The 17,229-nt window shown below is 44.8% G+C and overlaps 1 protein-coding gene across 1 annotated transcript in view, besides 1 other annotated feature; it reads right to left on the reverse strand.

Moving 5' to 3' along the window:
- Positions 1-4,887, reverse strand: part of DCHS1 (dachsous cadherin-related 1) — a 34,480-nt gene extending 29,593 nt beyond the window's left edge. Inside the window, exon 1 of the mRNA NM_003737.4 lies at positions 4,641-4,887. The gene's annotated coding sequence lies outside the window, so the exon portion shown is untranslated. The remainder of the gene's footprint in view (positions 1-4,640) is intronic.
- Positions 17,145-17,194: an enhancer, noted in NCBI's record as "active region_4353". NCBI's record gives its function as "activates an Ori minimal core promoter by ATAC-STARR-seq in GM12878 lymphoblastoid cells {active_cell/tissue: GM12878}" and the evidence as "EXISTENCE:reporter gene assay evidence [ECO:0000049][PMID:35858748]".

Below are 17,229 nucleotides of genomic sequence, written 5' to 3' on the forward strand. Positions count from 1 at the left end.
AGTGTCTCCAGCAGAGTAAGTGAGTAGTGTGAAAATTTCTTAATTATGTGGGCAGCTGAGACTAGGTGTCAGTCTTCTGAAGAGTGAACGAGGGTGAGGGATGTGCTGTGAGGTACCCATGTATTCATTCATTTTGTTCACAGCCAAGCACCTGTGTGGGACCCTGAGTCACAAAGATGAGTAATACGCACTCTTGCCATCAAGGAGGTCCCAGCGCGGTTTGGGGAGATAAGACAGGGAAGAGGCAATGACAACAACGAAACACAGAGTTCAAGCCTGCCCGGTGGAGTCATTAAAGGCAGGGTTTGAGACCAGATATGAGGAAGGGAAGGGATAAGCCAGGAGGGAAGGGAGTGAAGGGCCTTTCAGGCAGGCAGAGCAGTATGTGCAAAGGGTCAGAAGCATGGAAAAAGGTAGTGTCTTTGGTGAACTACAGGAAATTCAGTATGGCTGAAACTCAAAACGTGAGGGGGCTGGGGAAATGGGGCAGGTGATGAGACTGGGAGGCTTGGGGAGGTCAGACTATGATCTCATAACCTTTGTTAAAAAGAAAAGATTTTGTTCAAGGAAAATGGAAGGCATTTGAATAATGCTGAGCAGGGAGTGACATAGTTGGATTTGTACTTTAGGAAGGTGTCTGTTACTCCAATGAAAAGAATGGATTGAAAGAAGGAAGAGAAGTGTAGAAAGAAAAGTTAGGAGGCTCTTGCAAAAATTCATGTGAAAAGATGGTAGATGAGGGCAACAGCAGAGGTGATGGAGAAAAGGGGATGGGATATCAGAGATTGCTGGAGAGAAGATAGAACCAACACGTTCCAAGGGATTTCTGGATTATGGGATACGTGGAGAAGGGAATGGTGACAGTTAATTTCTGGGATTCCAGCTTGCAACCTGAGTGGGGATGGTCATTTGGGGAAGGAAGGAATGATGAGATCAGGTTTGCACATGATAAGGGGTCGGTGAGCTATACAGTAAAGAGCAGGCATGCAGCAGGTATGCAGAAATGTGGCCTAGAAGAGAGATGTCTGTGAGTCATCAGCCTATAGATGTTAATAAAAGCCTTGAAAAATGAATGAAATTGATTACCTAGAGGTGTGTATACAGTGAGACAATAAGAAGGTCCAAGCCAGAACTTTAAGGAACAGTGACATTCAGGGGGCATACAAAGGATCCCTCAAAGCAGACTGAGAGAACAGCTAGGAGGAGCTCCAGAAGAGATACATACCATAATGTAACTTTCCACTTATTTGCCTGTTAAATGTTGATAGAATAAAATCATGGCTCAGAAGCCAAACAACAAAAACAACTCAAGGAGAAAAGAATGGTCAATAATGTCAGCTCCTCCCGAGAGGTCAGGCAGTTAAGGACTTTTGAAAAGATCCTCCAGATTGAGCAGAAGAGATGTTACTTTCTCCTAGGGAAAGCAGTTACATTTGAGGGGCAGGCACAAATGGGAAGTGAGGAAGTAGGAACAGCTATATGCAGAAGACTCTTTCACAAAATGTGACAGTGAAGAAAAGTGAGGAAGCCTCTTAGTTAACGGGGTATTACAGGGTTAAAGAAAGATAGGAGAGGCTGGAGGATCTTTATGTCCTCCCAGGAGGAATGGGAGAAAGGAAGGAACTGGAGACGTGGGAAACACATGGAATAATCAGTTGAGTGAGGTCCCTGTGGAAGAGGAAGGGGATGGGATCCGTAACACAGGTAGAGGATTGGCCTTAAGTAGAAGAGACAGCACTTCGTTCTTATAGGAAGGAAGGAGAAAAGATTGAAGAGGATGCAGATAAAATTTGAGGGAGGAGGCAGAAATCTGAGGGAATTCAAAACAGATGGCCTCAATTTCCTCAGTGAGCCAGAAGACCAGGTTGTCCACTCTTAATTCCTTCCTTTCCTTCACCCCACCATGTCTGCTTTGTCACTGAGCCCTGCTGATCCCACTGCCTAAAGAGCTCTTGAAACCATCCACTTTCTCCTTCTCTCCGGCCACTACTCCAGTTCAGGCCAGTGTTATACCCTCCAGAGTTTCTGCAACAGCCAACTGTCCTTCTTCTCAGGCTCTTTCTCCAGTCTCCACATGGCTGTCAGAGTGGTATTTCTAAAATGAATCTGATCATATCGCTCCAAGCTTCCAATGATTTGGTGACTCTCCATTATTCTTGGGTTAAATGAATTTCTTTCTGTGGCCTCCTAGACCCTGCATGGTCTAAGCCTCCATTTACCTCTCCCACAGACTCTCCCTCTCTCGTCACCTCATGCTGTAAGTGTCAGGCTCACTGAACTGCTTTATCCCTCACACACACACTATTTTCCTTCATGTGGGCTTTTACATGCTGCTCCCTTGGCTTGGCATATTCTCCACCCACTCCATCAAGTTTAAGTTTAAATGCCACTTCCTCCAGAAAGACTCTTCTGACCTCCCTACACTGGCCTAGGTTACTCTGCTGTGTGCTGCTGTGTTACAACACTCACTCCACAGCCTGTAAGCTCCATGAGGATAAGGACCATGTCCATTTTGTTCACACTTGTGCTGCCAACTCTCATCACAATGCCTAGCAGAGTAGGTGCCTAGTATGTGTTTGTTAAATGAATGAATTAGCGTTTTGATTAATTAATCTACTGAAAACAATGGTGTGAGGGATGTGGGGTAATGAGTGTGAAGAAAATAGAAAAAAAATCATCTATTTATTTATGAAGGGCCCAGTTGAGGTTTGAATTTTTTAGAAGTATGAATTTATAGAAGCGTCCCCTGGTGTGGTTGAGAAATCATTCTAGTTAGGGGCAATAATTTGAGGGATGAGTATAGAAGACAAGGAAACACAGTGGCCAAGGAGTGGTTGAAGGGATGATCCTTAGCATATGAGCTGGAAAGAAAGCACAAAGTCAGAAAGGAACAGAGTAGGAGAAAACAAAGAGGTCAAGGGCAAGAGGTCATTATGAGGTCAAAGAGTGTAATGGGAGCGAGAACATCTGAAAGCTGGAAGGATATAGGAGGTTGTGGGTAGAGAGAGGAATGCAAGAGTTTAGAATTTTAAAGGTGGAATAGTTCTACAGAGTGGTCCTGGGAGGGAGGAAGGTAACAGGAGCTAAGGAGGTCAAGAATCTGTGAAGCTGTGGTGTTGAAGGACACTGAGAAACCATGGCAGGATACACTATCCAGATCTCGAAGTTTTCAGGGAACAAGAGGGTATACCTGGGAGATCTACGTATGAGAAGGGGTGAAGGTGTGAGCTTGATAAGTTAAGCAGAGTTTATTCAGAAGTTGGGACAGGTCTTCCTGTGGTGTGCATGCCATCCATGACTGTCTCCTGGGGGTTGTACAAGTGGCTGTGTGGTAAGGGCAACTGTGGCACAGCCTCCTGTTAGTGACAGGCTTCTAGGACACCCACTATGTATGGGCAGCTCCAAGGAAGTAAACCTAATAAGATGTGCTGTGACAGTTGTGACAGTGCTTCTGATGGATGTGGATTGCAGTGACAATGTCTCCTGAGAGGTGCTGGTCTACTTGTTTGTTGCTGGTGACAGTGTTTCTGGAGAGTGTTAGCAGTAACAATGTCTTCCATGGTATGTGTTGGCCTTGACAATGAACCGGTGGGAGTATGTTGGTTGCAGCATTTCTCCTGTGGGTGTGTGTTGTCATGAGAGCATTTTCCGTAGGTGTGTGTTGGCTTGATAGAGTCTGCTGTAGGTGTGTGTTGGTTCTGACTGGGGGTGCTTCCTGGGGGTGGGCTTCCTGGAAGTGTATGATGGCTGTGAGGGTATCTCTTGAGGATGTGTGTTCCCTGGGACTGTGTCCTCTTGTGGGTTGAGTAGGGCTATGACTGTGTCCCTATGGGTATTTGAGAAGTTGACATAAGCGACAATATTTTTCTGGCCTATGACCTTGTGGCTGTGGGCCCAGCCCGCCACACTGAGTTCATTGTGCTTCTAGACCTCCCTCTCCCCACCCCCTCCACGTGGGACCCACGCCTGCGGTGACCTTGCTCTGTCCCCTGCACGGGATTCTGAGCTGGGTATCCCAGACACAAACTCCCAGTTGCTCCAATCTCCCACTCAGAACACGTCTGGGTGACCCCCCCCTCCATCCACTTCAGGCTGTGCCTGCCTCTCCTCTGCTTCTCTGTACTTCTCCCCACTCAGTTTCTTTGTCTCTGTCTCAGTTGGTCTCTGTCACACACCCATCCTCCACATTCTGACACATGGGCTCCCACAGAGCGGGCAACACACCCTCACAGGGACTCGCTCACCATGACACACGGTCATTCTGACCCTCACACCCTCAGAGTGACACGCACATGCACACACAGCCAGAGAGACGCCCAGGGACACACAACCTCCCAGTGACACGCACTGACACACTCCGACGATGCACTGGAACACAACGCTGTCGCACCCCACACCCCCGGCGCACGCTCCCGCCGCCACCCTCCCCGACTCGATGACACACGCACACAAAGACCCCCAGGCCCTGCCCCCACGCTCACGTTCACGCCCGCCCGGGTCCCGCAGGCCCAGGCCCCCCCTCCCCCATTGTCTCCGGCTCAGAACAAAGCCCCCGGCTCCGCCGCCGCTGCCGCAGCCCAGGGGAGGCCGGCGGGCAGGGCGGGCGCGGCCAGACGGGCCGGGCGGGCGCGGGCACTGACCTCCGCGCGACGCGGGCTCCCTCGCCCGGTGCTGGGGCGCCGTCCGGCCGCGGTCAGCCCCCCGGGCAGCGCCCGCTCGCGCGGGGCCTGAGGCCGCGCATCGTCCGCAGTCGCTGTCTCCGAGGCCCGCGATCCCCTCCGGGCAGCCGCCGTCGGTCCGCGCGCCCTTGGCCGTCGATCGGTCCGTCCGCTGACGCCCGGGCGCCGCCTCCTGCACAGCCGCCCCGCCGAGGATGCGAGCTCCGCTGCCGCGGCCCCGCGCCCCCTCCCCTCCCCTCCCCCCGCCCTCCGCGCGGTAACCCGAGCCCCCGCCCCTCCGCCCGCGGAGCCCCCGCCCCCGCCCCCACCCGCGCTCCGCGCCGCCGCCCCCCCTTCCCCCCGGCGCCCGCCCGGCCTCCCTCCGCCCCTCCACTTCCCGGCCCCAGGCCCCGGCTCCGGATCCGGCCCCAGCGCCGCGCCGCGCCCCCGTCCCGGTTCCCTTCCCTTCTCCCCGTCACTTCTCCCGTCCTCTCCTCCCATTCGGTTCTCTACGCCCTCTCGTCTCTTCCCCTTCTCGCCGCTCCCTGCTGCTCACCTCCTCCTCTTCCATCTTCTTTCCATCCCCTATTCCCCTCTTCTCCCTCAGTGCCCTGGTCTCCCTCTCGCCCCTTCTTTTTCCCAACCGTCATCTCCATTCCCCTCTGCCTTTCTCCCATCCTCTTCTTCTCGCCCCATCTCCATCATTTTCTCCCCAGCTCTTCTCCCCTTTCTCTTCTCCTTACCCCTTCTGCTTGATCTCTCTCCAGCCTCTTTACATCAGATTCTCCTTCCCCACCTCTCCTTTTATCCTTTTCTTCCTATCCCTTTCTCCCCGTCTCTTCTCCCCACCTTTCTCCCCATCCCCTTCTCCCTGTGTCTTTCGCCTCACCTCATCATCCCCTTTTCCTCACGCCTTCTCCTCATTCCCTTTTCTCACCCCTGCCCTTTTCACTACCCGCTGTCTCTTCCCCTTCTTCCATCGTAACCTCGGCCTTCTCCCCTGTTAGTCACTTTTCATTATCCCATGATTTCTGTCTCTTTTCTCTCCTTCACCCCCAGGCTCCCTTTCCCCCACTTTCTCTTTATCCCAAATTTGAGGGTAGAGATCGGGAGATATTGGAAAGAAGAGCTTTGGGGATGGTGGTCCCACTCACGATATACTCCCTAGAAAAATTAAGTGAGGAGGAAACCGGGCAGGGAAGTGGGAAGGGGCTCAAAAAACCAACTTGGGAGAGAATATGGGGAGAGGGGAAATCAGACAGAGACAAAGAGCAAGCAATCTTAAAGGAACTGGGAAGAGTTCTGACTCCTGTCCTTCTTCCTTAGGACTGCGAGTAGACTGTGAGAAAAACAGGTTTTCTGGACTTGAGATGTGTACAAATGGCACAAAGAAATCAGGAACTTCTGTGGAGAAGGAACACAGTTTCAGCTGAAGAAGAAGGGAGTGTGATTTTGGAAGAGGAGTGAGGGAGAGACTGGGGTCCTTGATCATATCCACGGCGCTTGGGCAGCTGGGTGGATGGATGGTGGTGAGGCTGGCTGTGCTCCACAAAAGGAGCAGCAGGAGGCTGCAGGGGGTTCGTATGAGGAGATGATGACTGTGACTTGGGGCTGCTGACTTTGAAGTGCTGGTTGGGTAGGTAGGTCTGCAACTTAGAGGAGCGGTCTGGGATGGACATAAATATTTGGGAGTCATCTGCAAATGCCGTATAAGCTTGAATATAGGGTGAAGTTTTTGCTTTTTTGTTTTTCCAAAATCATCCCTCAGGAAAGAGGGAGTAACCTTATATTTGAGTCCTTACAAGGTCTCTCATATTACAGGGTTTGCTCTCATTTACTTTATTTTGAACAACAAACCACTGGATAGGGCAGTATGGTATGGTGACTAAGCTTGTGGACTCTGGAGCCAGACTCCCTGGCTCGGGGTCCAGACTCTCCTATTTACAAGCTGTGTGGCACTGGGAAAGTTACTTAACTTGTCTCTGCCTCAGTTTTCTCATCTATAAAGTGGGCCTAAGGATTAAATTATGTAATATATATAAAGCACTATATACCTGGCACTATATGGTAAGTGTCCAATAAATGCTAACTATTTTTACTGTTTGGCTAAGACCCATTGACCTGAAATGTCCTCAACAATGCTATTTTGGATGTATTGTAGTCAAAGAAATTTAACACAGCTTTGGTAACTATTCCTGGTAGTATGACCTCATAATCGCATGTGTTGGATGTCTCAAAATATGCTTTTTAAAGATTGCTTTAAAAAGCAATACAGTAGTACTTGGAAGAGGTTTCTGGGCTGCCGAAAATGTTCTATTTCTTGACCTGAGTGGTTATATGGACCTGAGGGATGTTTCACTCTGACAGTTCATTGAGCTGAATATTTATGATGGCTTGTGGCCTTTTCCATATAGATGTTATATTTCAGTAAAAAAAGTTAACAGAAATATAATTTTTAAAAAGTATTACATTAAGTGATGTTTTGAAGTCATGAATATACTCAGGCAGGGTGCATGCAAAAAACCAACTGTTCTAGTGTGATGCAAAGGAAACTTGTGACTTAGGATAAAGTTTCCAAGGACTGCATCATCTGTGAATTCAAACTGTGCTGTGTCCTCTCCCAAGCCCTTCGCTTAAACTGAAGAGAAGGACATCTGTTCTGGGAAAACATGTAAGATGGCTGAAAAAGTGATCCTAATGATGAGAAAGACACTGCTTGTGTTGAGTATGCATAAAATTGCTTCATAATTTATGAGAATGGAAAAGACAATATTTATCAGTTATATATTTTTATATGATATATGAATTTAAATATATGTCCAATAAAGTCCATTAACTCATAGAAGTACACTTTTGATTGTTTCATCCTCATCCTTAAAGGTTTACATTTCTAGGTTGGTTGAAAAGCTTTTTGGATCTTCTCACTGGGAAAAATGAAAAATTACTGTTTGGGCAAGACCCATTAACCTGAAATGTCCTCAACAACCCAATTTGTGTTGCTTTGTATACAGTAAGCTGTATTGTATAGTAAGTGTGACAGATGGTAAGTGAAGGTAAGGGAGTGAATGAGATTACAGAGGGAGAGCATGTACATTAGGAAGAAAAGAAGGTCTAGGACAGATGCTGAGAAGCTCCAACATGTAAAGGTTGAGAAGAGGAGGAGCCCTCAAAGGAAAGTGAGAGGATGTGGCCAGACAGGGAGGAGAAAGAAAGGGAGGTGAGTGGTGCCACTGAAGCCCAGGGAATGGCCACAGAAGAAGCCATGAAGTGAGGAGAGGTCATTAGGTTGGAATGACACAGAGGAGGCCAGTGAGGTAAGGACTGAAAAGTATCCATTGGATTTGGCTGGGGCCTAGGGGGCAGGCTGGTGACCTTGGGGACAATGTGGTAGGTGGAGTGGTAAGGATGAAGGCTAATTAGCACTCAGTAACTAAGGAGTGAGTGGAAGGTGAGGAACTGAAGACTTGGAGTAGAGCTTATTCTTTAAGGAGGCCTAACTACAGGGGAGGAGAGAGACCTATAACTGGCGTAAGGGATAGGAGTTTTAGGGGGTCAGGAAGTTTTTCAAATAGAAGAATCCAAATTCATTTATTTTCTTGCTTCCTTCATTTATTGAAGATACATTTAGGTGCCTGCTATGTGCAACTTTATAGTTAAGATACAAAAATTAAGACATGACTAAGGAACTCATGGTAAGCTGTGAAGACAGACCTCTCAACTGACAACAGAAGGTACAATAGAGGAGAGCATGGGGTTGTGGATATAGGGGGCTTCCTAATCCAGACCAGGGCTGGGACATCAGCAAATAGTGTCACAGAGATGACAATGGAACTGGATTTGAAGGATTAGAAGCATAGCAGAGGGAAAAGTTAGAGAAAGGACTTTCAGGCAGAATAAACTGACATGTTCAAGATCACAAGAGCATGAAAGAAAATAGCTCTGGCCATGAAGGGTGGCATCCAGGCTTCAGTGGTGGTGGTCCTGCACAAACTGGCTTGGCTGGAGTGTTGAGCATATGGGCTAGTGTGGGAAGCAAAAACAGGAAAGGTAAATGGAGCCAAATCATGGACAATATATGTCATGCAAATGGTCCAGGCTCTGAGGAGCCATTGAAGGGTTTATTTAATAAGATAAATGAAATGGACAGGTTACGTGTCATCAACATAATTTTGGCTATTCCCCAGCTTATAATGAGGGTCTAAATTAAGGTAGTGATAGTAGGATTAGAAAAGAGGAGTAAGATAAGAGAGAAATTACAGGGATAAAACTACTAGAAGTAAAGGGTGTAGCATGGGAGGATTCTAAGATGGCTTCCATGTTCTTGGGTCGTACATTAGTGATGCTACTTAGGAAGCTGGGGAAGCAATAGAGAAGCAGGTTTGTGGGGAAAAGGTAAGATGGTGAGTTGAGTTTTGGATATAAGAGTCGAAGATGTATGTGAGATATCCAAATAAATATGTCTAATAGGTGATTGAGTATAAAATTTGGAACTCAGAAGAGAGTTGAGCTGAGGGTAGATATTTCAAAGCAGTTATTTTGCAGGTGGTAAGTGGAATCATGAGAATGGATGTGGCCACCCACAGAGAGCATGAAGTGAGAAGAGCATCTAGGCAGCCTTTAAGACATGGGCAAAAAAAAGAAGAGTCATAAAAGAGATTGAGAAGAAGCAGGCAACAAGGTAAGACTTAAATGAAAGTAGTATCTGGGCCAGTGCGGTGGCTCACGCCTGCAATCCCAGCACTTTGGGAGGCCAAAGTGGGCAGATCATGAGCTCAGGAGTTTGAGACCAGCCTGGGCCAACATGGTGAAACCCCGTCTCTAAAAATACAAAAGTTAGCTGGGCGCAGTGGTGTGTGCCTATAGTCCCAGCTGCTCGGGAGGCTGAGGCAGAAGAATCGCTTGAACCCAGGAGGTGGAGGTTGCAGTGAACCGAGATCGCGCCACTAAACTCCAGCCTGGGCGACAAAGTGAGACTCCATCTCAAAAAAAAAAAAAAAAAGGAGTATATGATGTGTTATCATAGAAAGCAAGGGAAGAAACAACCACTAGAATGAGAGTTGTCATCAGAGTAAAAATATTGCAGGAAGATGAGCCTGAGGGGTCTTCATTAGATTCTGGAATCAGGAGATAACCGATGATCTTAGTATCAAAGGAGAGGAGGGGAAAGACACCAGGCCACAGGGAGGAAAAGGTGAAGTGGAAGTAAAACAATAGTGATGTGTGTGGAAGAGTGAAAAGTTGATTGCACATGAAAGAAACACAATTTGAATTCATTTAGGAAAGAAAGGTATATTTATTGGCCCAGATAACTAAAGCTGGGAGACGACTGGCTAATGGAACCAGGAACTGAAAGCCCATTAAGACTTTCTCTGTGTCTCTGGTTTCTGTTTTTCATTTCATTTTCTTTTGCTTGTCAGCTTCATTTTCTCCCACTGATTTTTTTAATGAACTTTTTATTTTGGGATAATTTTAGATTTATAGAAAAGTTGCAAAGATAGTACTGGGGGTTCCCATATACCTTCACCGAGTTTCCTCTAAACATTGGTATATTGTTATTATTATTACTATTATTATTATTTTGGAGATGGAATCTCACTCTGTCGCTGAGGCTAGAGTGCAGTGGTACAATCACATCTCAATTCAGCCTCAAACTCCCAGGCTCAAGCAATTCTCCCACCTCAGCCTGCCAAGCAGCTGGGACTATAGGCACATACCACCACACTCGGCTAGTTTTTGTGGTAACAAAGGTCTCCCTTTGTCACCCAGGCTGGAGTGTAGTTGTGTCATCATGGCTTACTACAGCCTCAACCTTCTGTGCTCAAGTGCTTTCTCCCACTTTAACCTCCACACCCCCCCCACCCCCCTCCCCTGAGTAAATGAGACTACAGACACCTGCCACCACCTGGATAATTTTTTGTATTTTTTGTAGAGACAGAGTTTCATCATGTTGGCCAGGCTGGTCTGGAACTCCTGAGCTCAAGCAATCTACCCACCTCAGCCTCCCAAAATGCTGGCATTACAGGTGTAAGCCACCACGCCCAGCCTAGTGTTTTATTTTTTTATCTTTTGTAGAGTGTAGGGGGTCTCACTATGCTTCCAAGGCTGGTCTTGAACTCCTGGCCTTAAGGGATCCTCCTACCTTGGCCTCCCAAAATACTGGAATTTTAGGTGTGAGCCACTGCACGGAGCCAGTACATCATTATTAACTAAATTCCAGACTCTGTTCTGATTTCACCAGTTTTTCCACTAATGTCCTTTTCCTATCCCAGGATTCAATCCAGGATACATTGCATTTAGTCATCGTGTTTGGTTAGTTTCCCCTGGTCTGTGACAGTGTCTCCATCTTTCTTTTTTTTTTTAATGACCTTGACAATTTTGAAGAGTACTGGCCAGGCAGTTCGTAGAGTGTCCCTCAATTTGGATTTCTCTGTTTTCCATGTGATTAAACTGGCGAGAGACTACCACAGAGCTGAAGTGCCTTCTCTCTATATCATATCAGGGGGTGCATGATATAAATGTAAATTTTCACTGGTAATGTTAACCTTAGTCACTGCATTAAGATCTCTCCACTTTAAGGCTACTTTCCCCCTTACCATATTCTGTTCTTTAGAAGTGTCACTAAGTCCCATACTCAGGGAGGGGGAGATTAAGCTCCATCTCCTAGAGGGGGTATGTATGATATGTATTAAAACATAATATACTTTATTTGGAATTCTTCTGTATGCAGATTTGGCTCTTCTCCTCTTTCCTACTGATTTTTAAAATTAGTTTTCTAATCAATATTATGTATTTACTTAGTTTAAAAAATAGGCCTTATAACAACAACCACAGATTCGGAAATCCTGGGGAAAGAGTCTGGATGGCCTGGGGCCGGGGCTGACTTACGTGCCCATCCAGATCAATCTCGGGAGCAGGGGGCCAGGTCACTTAAAAGACGGCAGCTCCCATTCAGACCGATGATTAAAAATGTTTTGGCATACACGTGCCCTTTTGTTTAGGGCATACTTTGGTCCCTTCTTCTGTTAATTGACCTTTCATTTACCCTTCAGATCTCAGCTGAAGCAACACTTCATCATAGATATCTTCTCTGACCTCTTTAGGTCAAATCCCCATATTATGGGTTGTCATAGTGCCTGGTACTTCTCCTCTGTGGCAGTTATCACAGTGGCAAGTTTACATCCATTCTAGTGTGTGAATATTTGGTTAAATGTCTATACACTCCACTAAACGGTAAAGCTGGTTTGTTCACCACTGTAGCACATATATGTACATAGGTGATGTTCAGTCAATATTTGTTAAGTGAATGGCTGACATGAAGGGGGTGGTTGTTCCAGAATAAAGAAAAGATGTTAGTGAGACAACAGAATCAAGTACCATTACTCAGTGAATGCAAGAGAAAAGAGAGAGAGGATAGATAACCTAGGTGGGAGGGTGGGGTGGGTTGGGGTATTGGCAGGAGGAGTGGGAGCAGAGAGGGTTGACAGAGAGCTCTTTGGAAGAAGGCAACAAGAGCATGTTTAACATCTCAGGTAAGGAACTCATGGAGAGAATGGAGCAAGGTCCCAGAGGAGAGAGGAGGGACTGAAGAATTAACCATCACAACAAAGAGGGATTGGTCTTTGCCAGGAAGAGAAGTACCTCCTCCTCCAAGACTGAAAAGGAAGATGAGTGGGGTGCAGATAACGGCATGTGTGTAAGTGTGTGGTAGTGGGGGAAGAAGGTGGACAAGGCAGGAATTTGAGGCCATCATACCTGATGATCTCATTCTCTCTAGAGAGGAGTTGGGATTTTGTGAAAAATGGGCACGAGGGAGGCAATAATGTTAGAAATCTTGAAAGCTTTAAAGGAGTGAAGACACTGTTAAGGGAAGTGATAGCTGGTGGCCTTATAAGCCTAAAGGACCAAGGAGTTGAGGACACTGGCAAGAAAACAAAGGATAGAGACACACCTACACCTAAGTCCTTGGTGAAAAAGAGGGAAAGTCATTTCATGACAACACTGAGGAGGGTAGAGTCTTGTGTAAGACGGCATAATTTCAAAGGCTGAGGGGTGAGGATGGAGAAATAGTTGTCTCTGTTTAGGCCTTGGGAAGCCTGGATAGTGGTGACTCCTTCCCTTTTCCTTCAAAGATATGTGAAAGTATGTGCAAAAGGGGAGTACTTAAGCAAAGCCAGGTCTCTTACACAGGAAGTGGAGGCTCAGAGGTATATGAAGGGGCTGAGAATTCAGGAGTTTGTCACCATGAAATGGAGGTTTCAGAACAGGAAAGACTGAGGGGTGAATCCATGATGGGAAAGGCTAAAAGGCAGGGAAGCAGTGGGAGGTCCAGTCAACTAGGGTCAGGGAAGGGCACATCAATGTGGCGATGACCAAATGAGAAAGGAGAGATGACTCAAAAGGCCTACCTTGTGAATGATGATCTTGAGTGACAGGATGGGAGGCAGACAGTTGTCAGTGGTTCTGTTAGTCCTCCGTTCTTTCCTAGTGAGCTGGAGGCACTGGGTAGCATTAGTACTTGGTTTCAGACTGCTCCAAGCCTTAGTTCAAAATACTTATAAATCACAAGTCATTAGAACTCCTTGGTACAGCCCAGCCCTGGAAGAAGTGAGCAGGAGTATTAAAAAAAAAAAAAAAAAAATGGCCAGAGTCCAGCACTGTTTGAATTGGGATCTTTCAAGAGTGAGGATGTTTTCCAGGCTCTGAAGGACTTCAACTCCCTGTAGAGGCTCTAGGAAAGGAAAAGGAAGCTCCCTATGCTCTCCCACAGAGCAAGAGCCAGAGAAAGTAGAAGGAAATGGAATCTAGAACACAGGTGGAGGGATTAAATATGGCGAAGAGGAAGGACTCCTATCCACTGAGATGGGAAGTAAGGAAAGCCAGTCCTGTGGATTTCAATTCACACAGTGATCAATTTGTTAGAACTTACCAATTTTATCAGTTTACCAAAATTTTGTTTCTTTTAATTACGTGTGAAGGTTAAAACAATTTGCATGGTTGGGCTGATTTTAACTACTTTTAATGATTTCTACAAAGTATCAGTTGACAATTTTGAGTTTAGTTTAGCTTAGTTGTACTTTTAATTTATTTGCAGCTGTTTCTCTGAAATCATTTTGCCATGGCTTGCCAAAGTTCAGTGTATTCTAAGTTTTTCCTTATTTTGGATCTGTGACTTTGGGGAATGGGAATTTCTTATGCATTTTACTCTGCAAATGTTGTACAATGACTCAGATGTCAAAAATTTCATATACAATCTGGGGGGGCGTGGAATTCTCCCTTCCAAAATATTTTCAATCCAACAGTTTTCCTTTTACTTTAATATTTTTTGTGCATTTGTACTTTTAATAGAAATGTAGATGTGGGCTGAAATATAGCCATACTGTATTTCCATACTTGTTGGTTGGTAAATCATATAATAGTGACTACAATAAGTGATAAAATTAATAATATAAATTATATTATAAACTAATTAGTCTAAGACAATTTTTCTAAGATATCATGATGGCCATTGATAAATGGGTCTCCTGCTGTAGTGACATCTGAGAAACATTTGCAAAATTTCTGCCAGTTCCATTTGTATCACAATAGGAATATTGTACTTTAGGAGCATTCCTGTTGATTAAATAGTTGTTACTACTTCTAAGTAGTCAGGTTTTTACTTTGGCTTTATTACTTTTTAAAGTAACAGCTTTGTTGAGATACACTATGTATACCATAAAGTATATCCTTTTAAAGTGTACAATTCACAGTAATTTTTAGTATATTCATGGGGTTGTGCATTATCATCACTATTACATTTCAGAATATTTTTGTCACCCAAAAAGAAACCCCACACCCATTAACAGTTACTCCATTTGCTGTCCCCTCAGCTCCTGGCAACCAATAATCTACTTTCTGACTCTATGAATTTGCTTATTCTGGACATTTCATATAAATTGAATCATACAACATGTGGCCTTTTGCATCTGGCTTCTTTCACTTGGCATGTTTTCAGTATTCATCCATGTCATTGCATGTATCAGTACTTCATTTCTTGACTTAAGATATGGCTGAAGATATTCCCTTGTATGCATATAACACATCTTGTTTTTCTTTTCATCAGTTGATGGTCATTTGGGTTGTTTCCACTTTGGGGCTATTATAAGTAATGCTGCTATGAACACTTGTATATACATTTTTGTGTGGACACATGTTTTCTCTTCTTGGGTAGATACCTAGGAGTGGAATTGCTGGTATGATTATAACTCTATGTTTAACATTTTTAGAAAATATTTGAGAAAATTTGCCAAACTGTTGCTAAAGCAGCTGCACTATTTTACACTTCCACCACCAGTAAATGAGGGTTCGTTTACTGGTCAAACAAGTGTCAAACACTTGTTGACAAGGATACGGAGAAACTGGAACCCTCATTTACTGTTCGTCATTTTGTTGTTATCCAGCTGGGTATAAAGTGGTATATTGTTGTGGTTTTGATTCCCATTTCCCTAATAACTAATGATGTTGAGCATCTTTTTTTTTTTTTTTTTTTTTTTTTTTTGAGACAAAATCTTACTCTGTCACCCAAGCTGGAGTGCAGTGGTGCAATCTCAGCTCACTGCAACCTCTGCTTCCCAGGTTCAAGCAATCCTCCCACCCTGCCTCCTATGTAGCCAGGATTACAGGCATGCACCACCACGCCCAGCTAAATTTTTTGTATTTTTAGTAGAGACGGGGCTTCACTATGTCGGCCAGGCTGGTCTCGAACTCCTGACTTCAAGTTATCTACCTGCCTTGGCCTCCCAAAGTGCTGGGATGACAGGTGTGAGCCACCACGCCCAGCAGAGCATCTTTTTTATATGCTTATTGACTATATGTATATCTTCTTCTGTGGTTTCTTTCAAGATTTTCTCTTTGTAGTTTCAATATGATACACCTAGGCATAGATTTTTTCAGTATTTATTGTGCTTGTTGTTCTTTGGGCTTTCTGGGTCTGTGGCTTGCTGTCTGTCATTAATTTCAGAAAATTCTGAGTCATTATTACTTTACATATTTATTTGCTTGCTTGCTTTCTCTCTTTCCTTTTCTCCTTCCTTCCTTCCCTTCCTTCTCTCTCTCTCTTCCTTCCTTCCTCCCTCCCTTCCTCCCTCCTTCTCTCCCTCGCTTTCTCTCCTTCCTTCCTTCCTTTCTTTCCCTCCTCCTCCTCCTTCTTCTCCTCCTCCTCTTCTTCCTTCTTCTTTCCTTCTTTCTTCCTCTCTTTCTCTCTTTCTTTCCTTCCTTCTTTCCTCCCTCCCTCTTTCTTTCTTTCTTTCTTCCTTCCTTCCTTTTTTCTTTCTTTCTTTTCTTTCCTCTTCTTTCTTTTTCTCTCTTTCTTTCTTTTTTTTCTCTCTCTCTTTCTTTCTTTCTTTTCTTTATTTTTTTCTGATATTCCCATTACACATATGTTACACCTTTTGTTATTGTCCCACAGTTCTTGGATAGTCTGTTTCATTTTTTTCCCCATTCCTTTTTCTCTTTGCTTTTCAGTTTGGAAAATTTCTATTGATATATCTTCTAGCTCACTGATTCTTCCCTCAGCCATGTCCAGTCTACTGATGAGTCCATCACATACATTATTTATTTCTATTACACTGTTTTAAATTTCTAACATTTCCTTTTGATCGTCTCTTAGAGTTTCCTTTACTCTGCTTCCATTATCCATCTGTTCTTGTATGCTATCCAGTTTTCCCACTAGAGCCCTTAGCATATAATCATACTCATTTTAAATTTCCAGCCTGATAATTCCAAAATCTATGGCATATAAGTCTGATTCTGATGCTTGCTTTGTATTTTCAGATTTTTTTTTTTTTTTTGCCTTTTAGCCTGTCTTGTAATTTTTTTTTTTTTTTGAAACTGGATATTATGTATCAGGTAAAAGGAACTGAGGTAGATAGGCCTTTAATGTGAGATTTTATGTTTATCTGGCTAGGAGTCAGGCTGCGTTTACTACTTCTTGTAGCCGTGGTGTCAGAAGCTAACACCTAGTGTCCTTATTTTTGTCTTCCCTTTTGCCTTTGGGTTTTCCTAGAGACTCCTTCTTAAATAGGGGCTGAGGCTTGCAGTTCTTTTAGCTGTAACCCCTTGTTATTATTATTCAGGAGCCCACTGATGCAGTGAGAAGGTTGGGGTGGATAAGGGAAGCATTATATAGTCTTATAATTATGTCTCAGTCTTTTAATGAGCCCATGTCCTTGGGCTATGACCTTGGCAAGTGCTTCTCAGCTTCCCCCTACTCCACCGTAGAGAGACAGGAAGGCTGGAGGGGGCTGAGGCTGGGTATTTCCCTTGCCCCATGTTGGTTAGGCTTTGGTAAAACTCAAGTTGGTTAGGCTGTGGTAAACAGTTTTCCCTGAGGGCAGGCCTTGTTAAGGAGAACAGAGAGCTCTGGGTATATTTCAAATTTGTTACTTTTTCTGTCCCCCTGCTGGATGCATGAGGAAATTTTCTCCAGTCTTTACAGCGAGAACCTGGTGGGGCTTCCAGTTCTTGTTAAAGCAAAAAACTGGCTGTATAACTTCTTTGGGAAAAAATCTCTATTTAAATCCTTTGCCCATTAAAT

The sequence above is a fragment of the Homo sapiens genome, chromosome 11, assembly GCF_000001405.40.
Source record: "Homo sapiens chromosome 11, GRCh38.p14 Primary Assembly".
Lineage (NCBI taxonomy): Eukaryota > Metazoa > Chordata > Mammalia > Primates > Hominidae > Homo > Homo sapiens.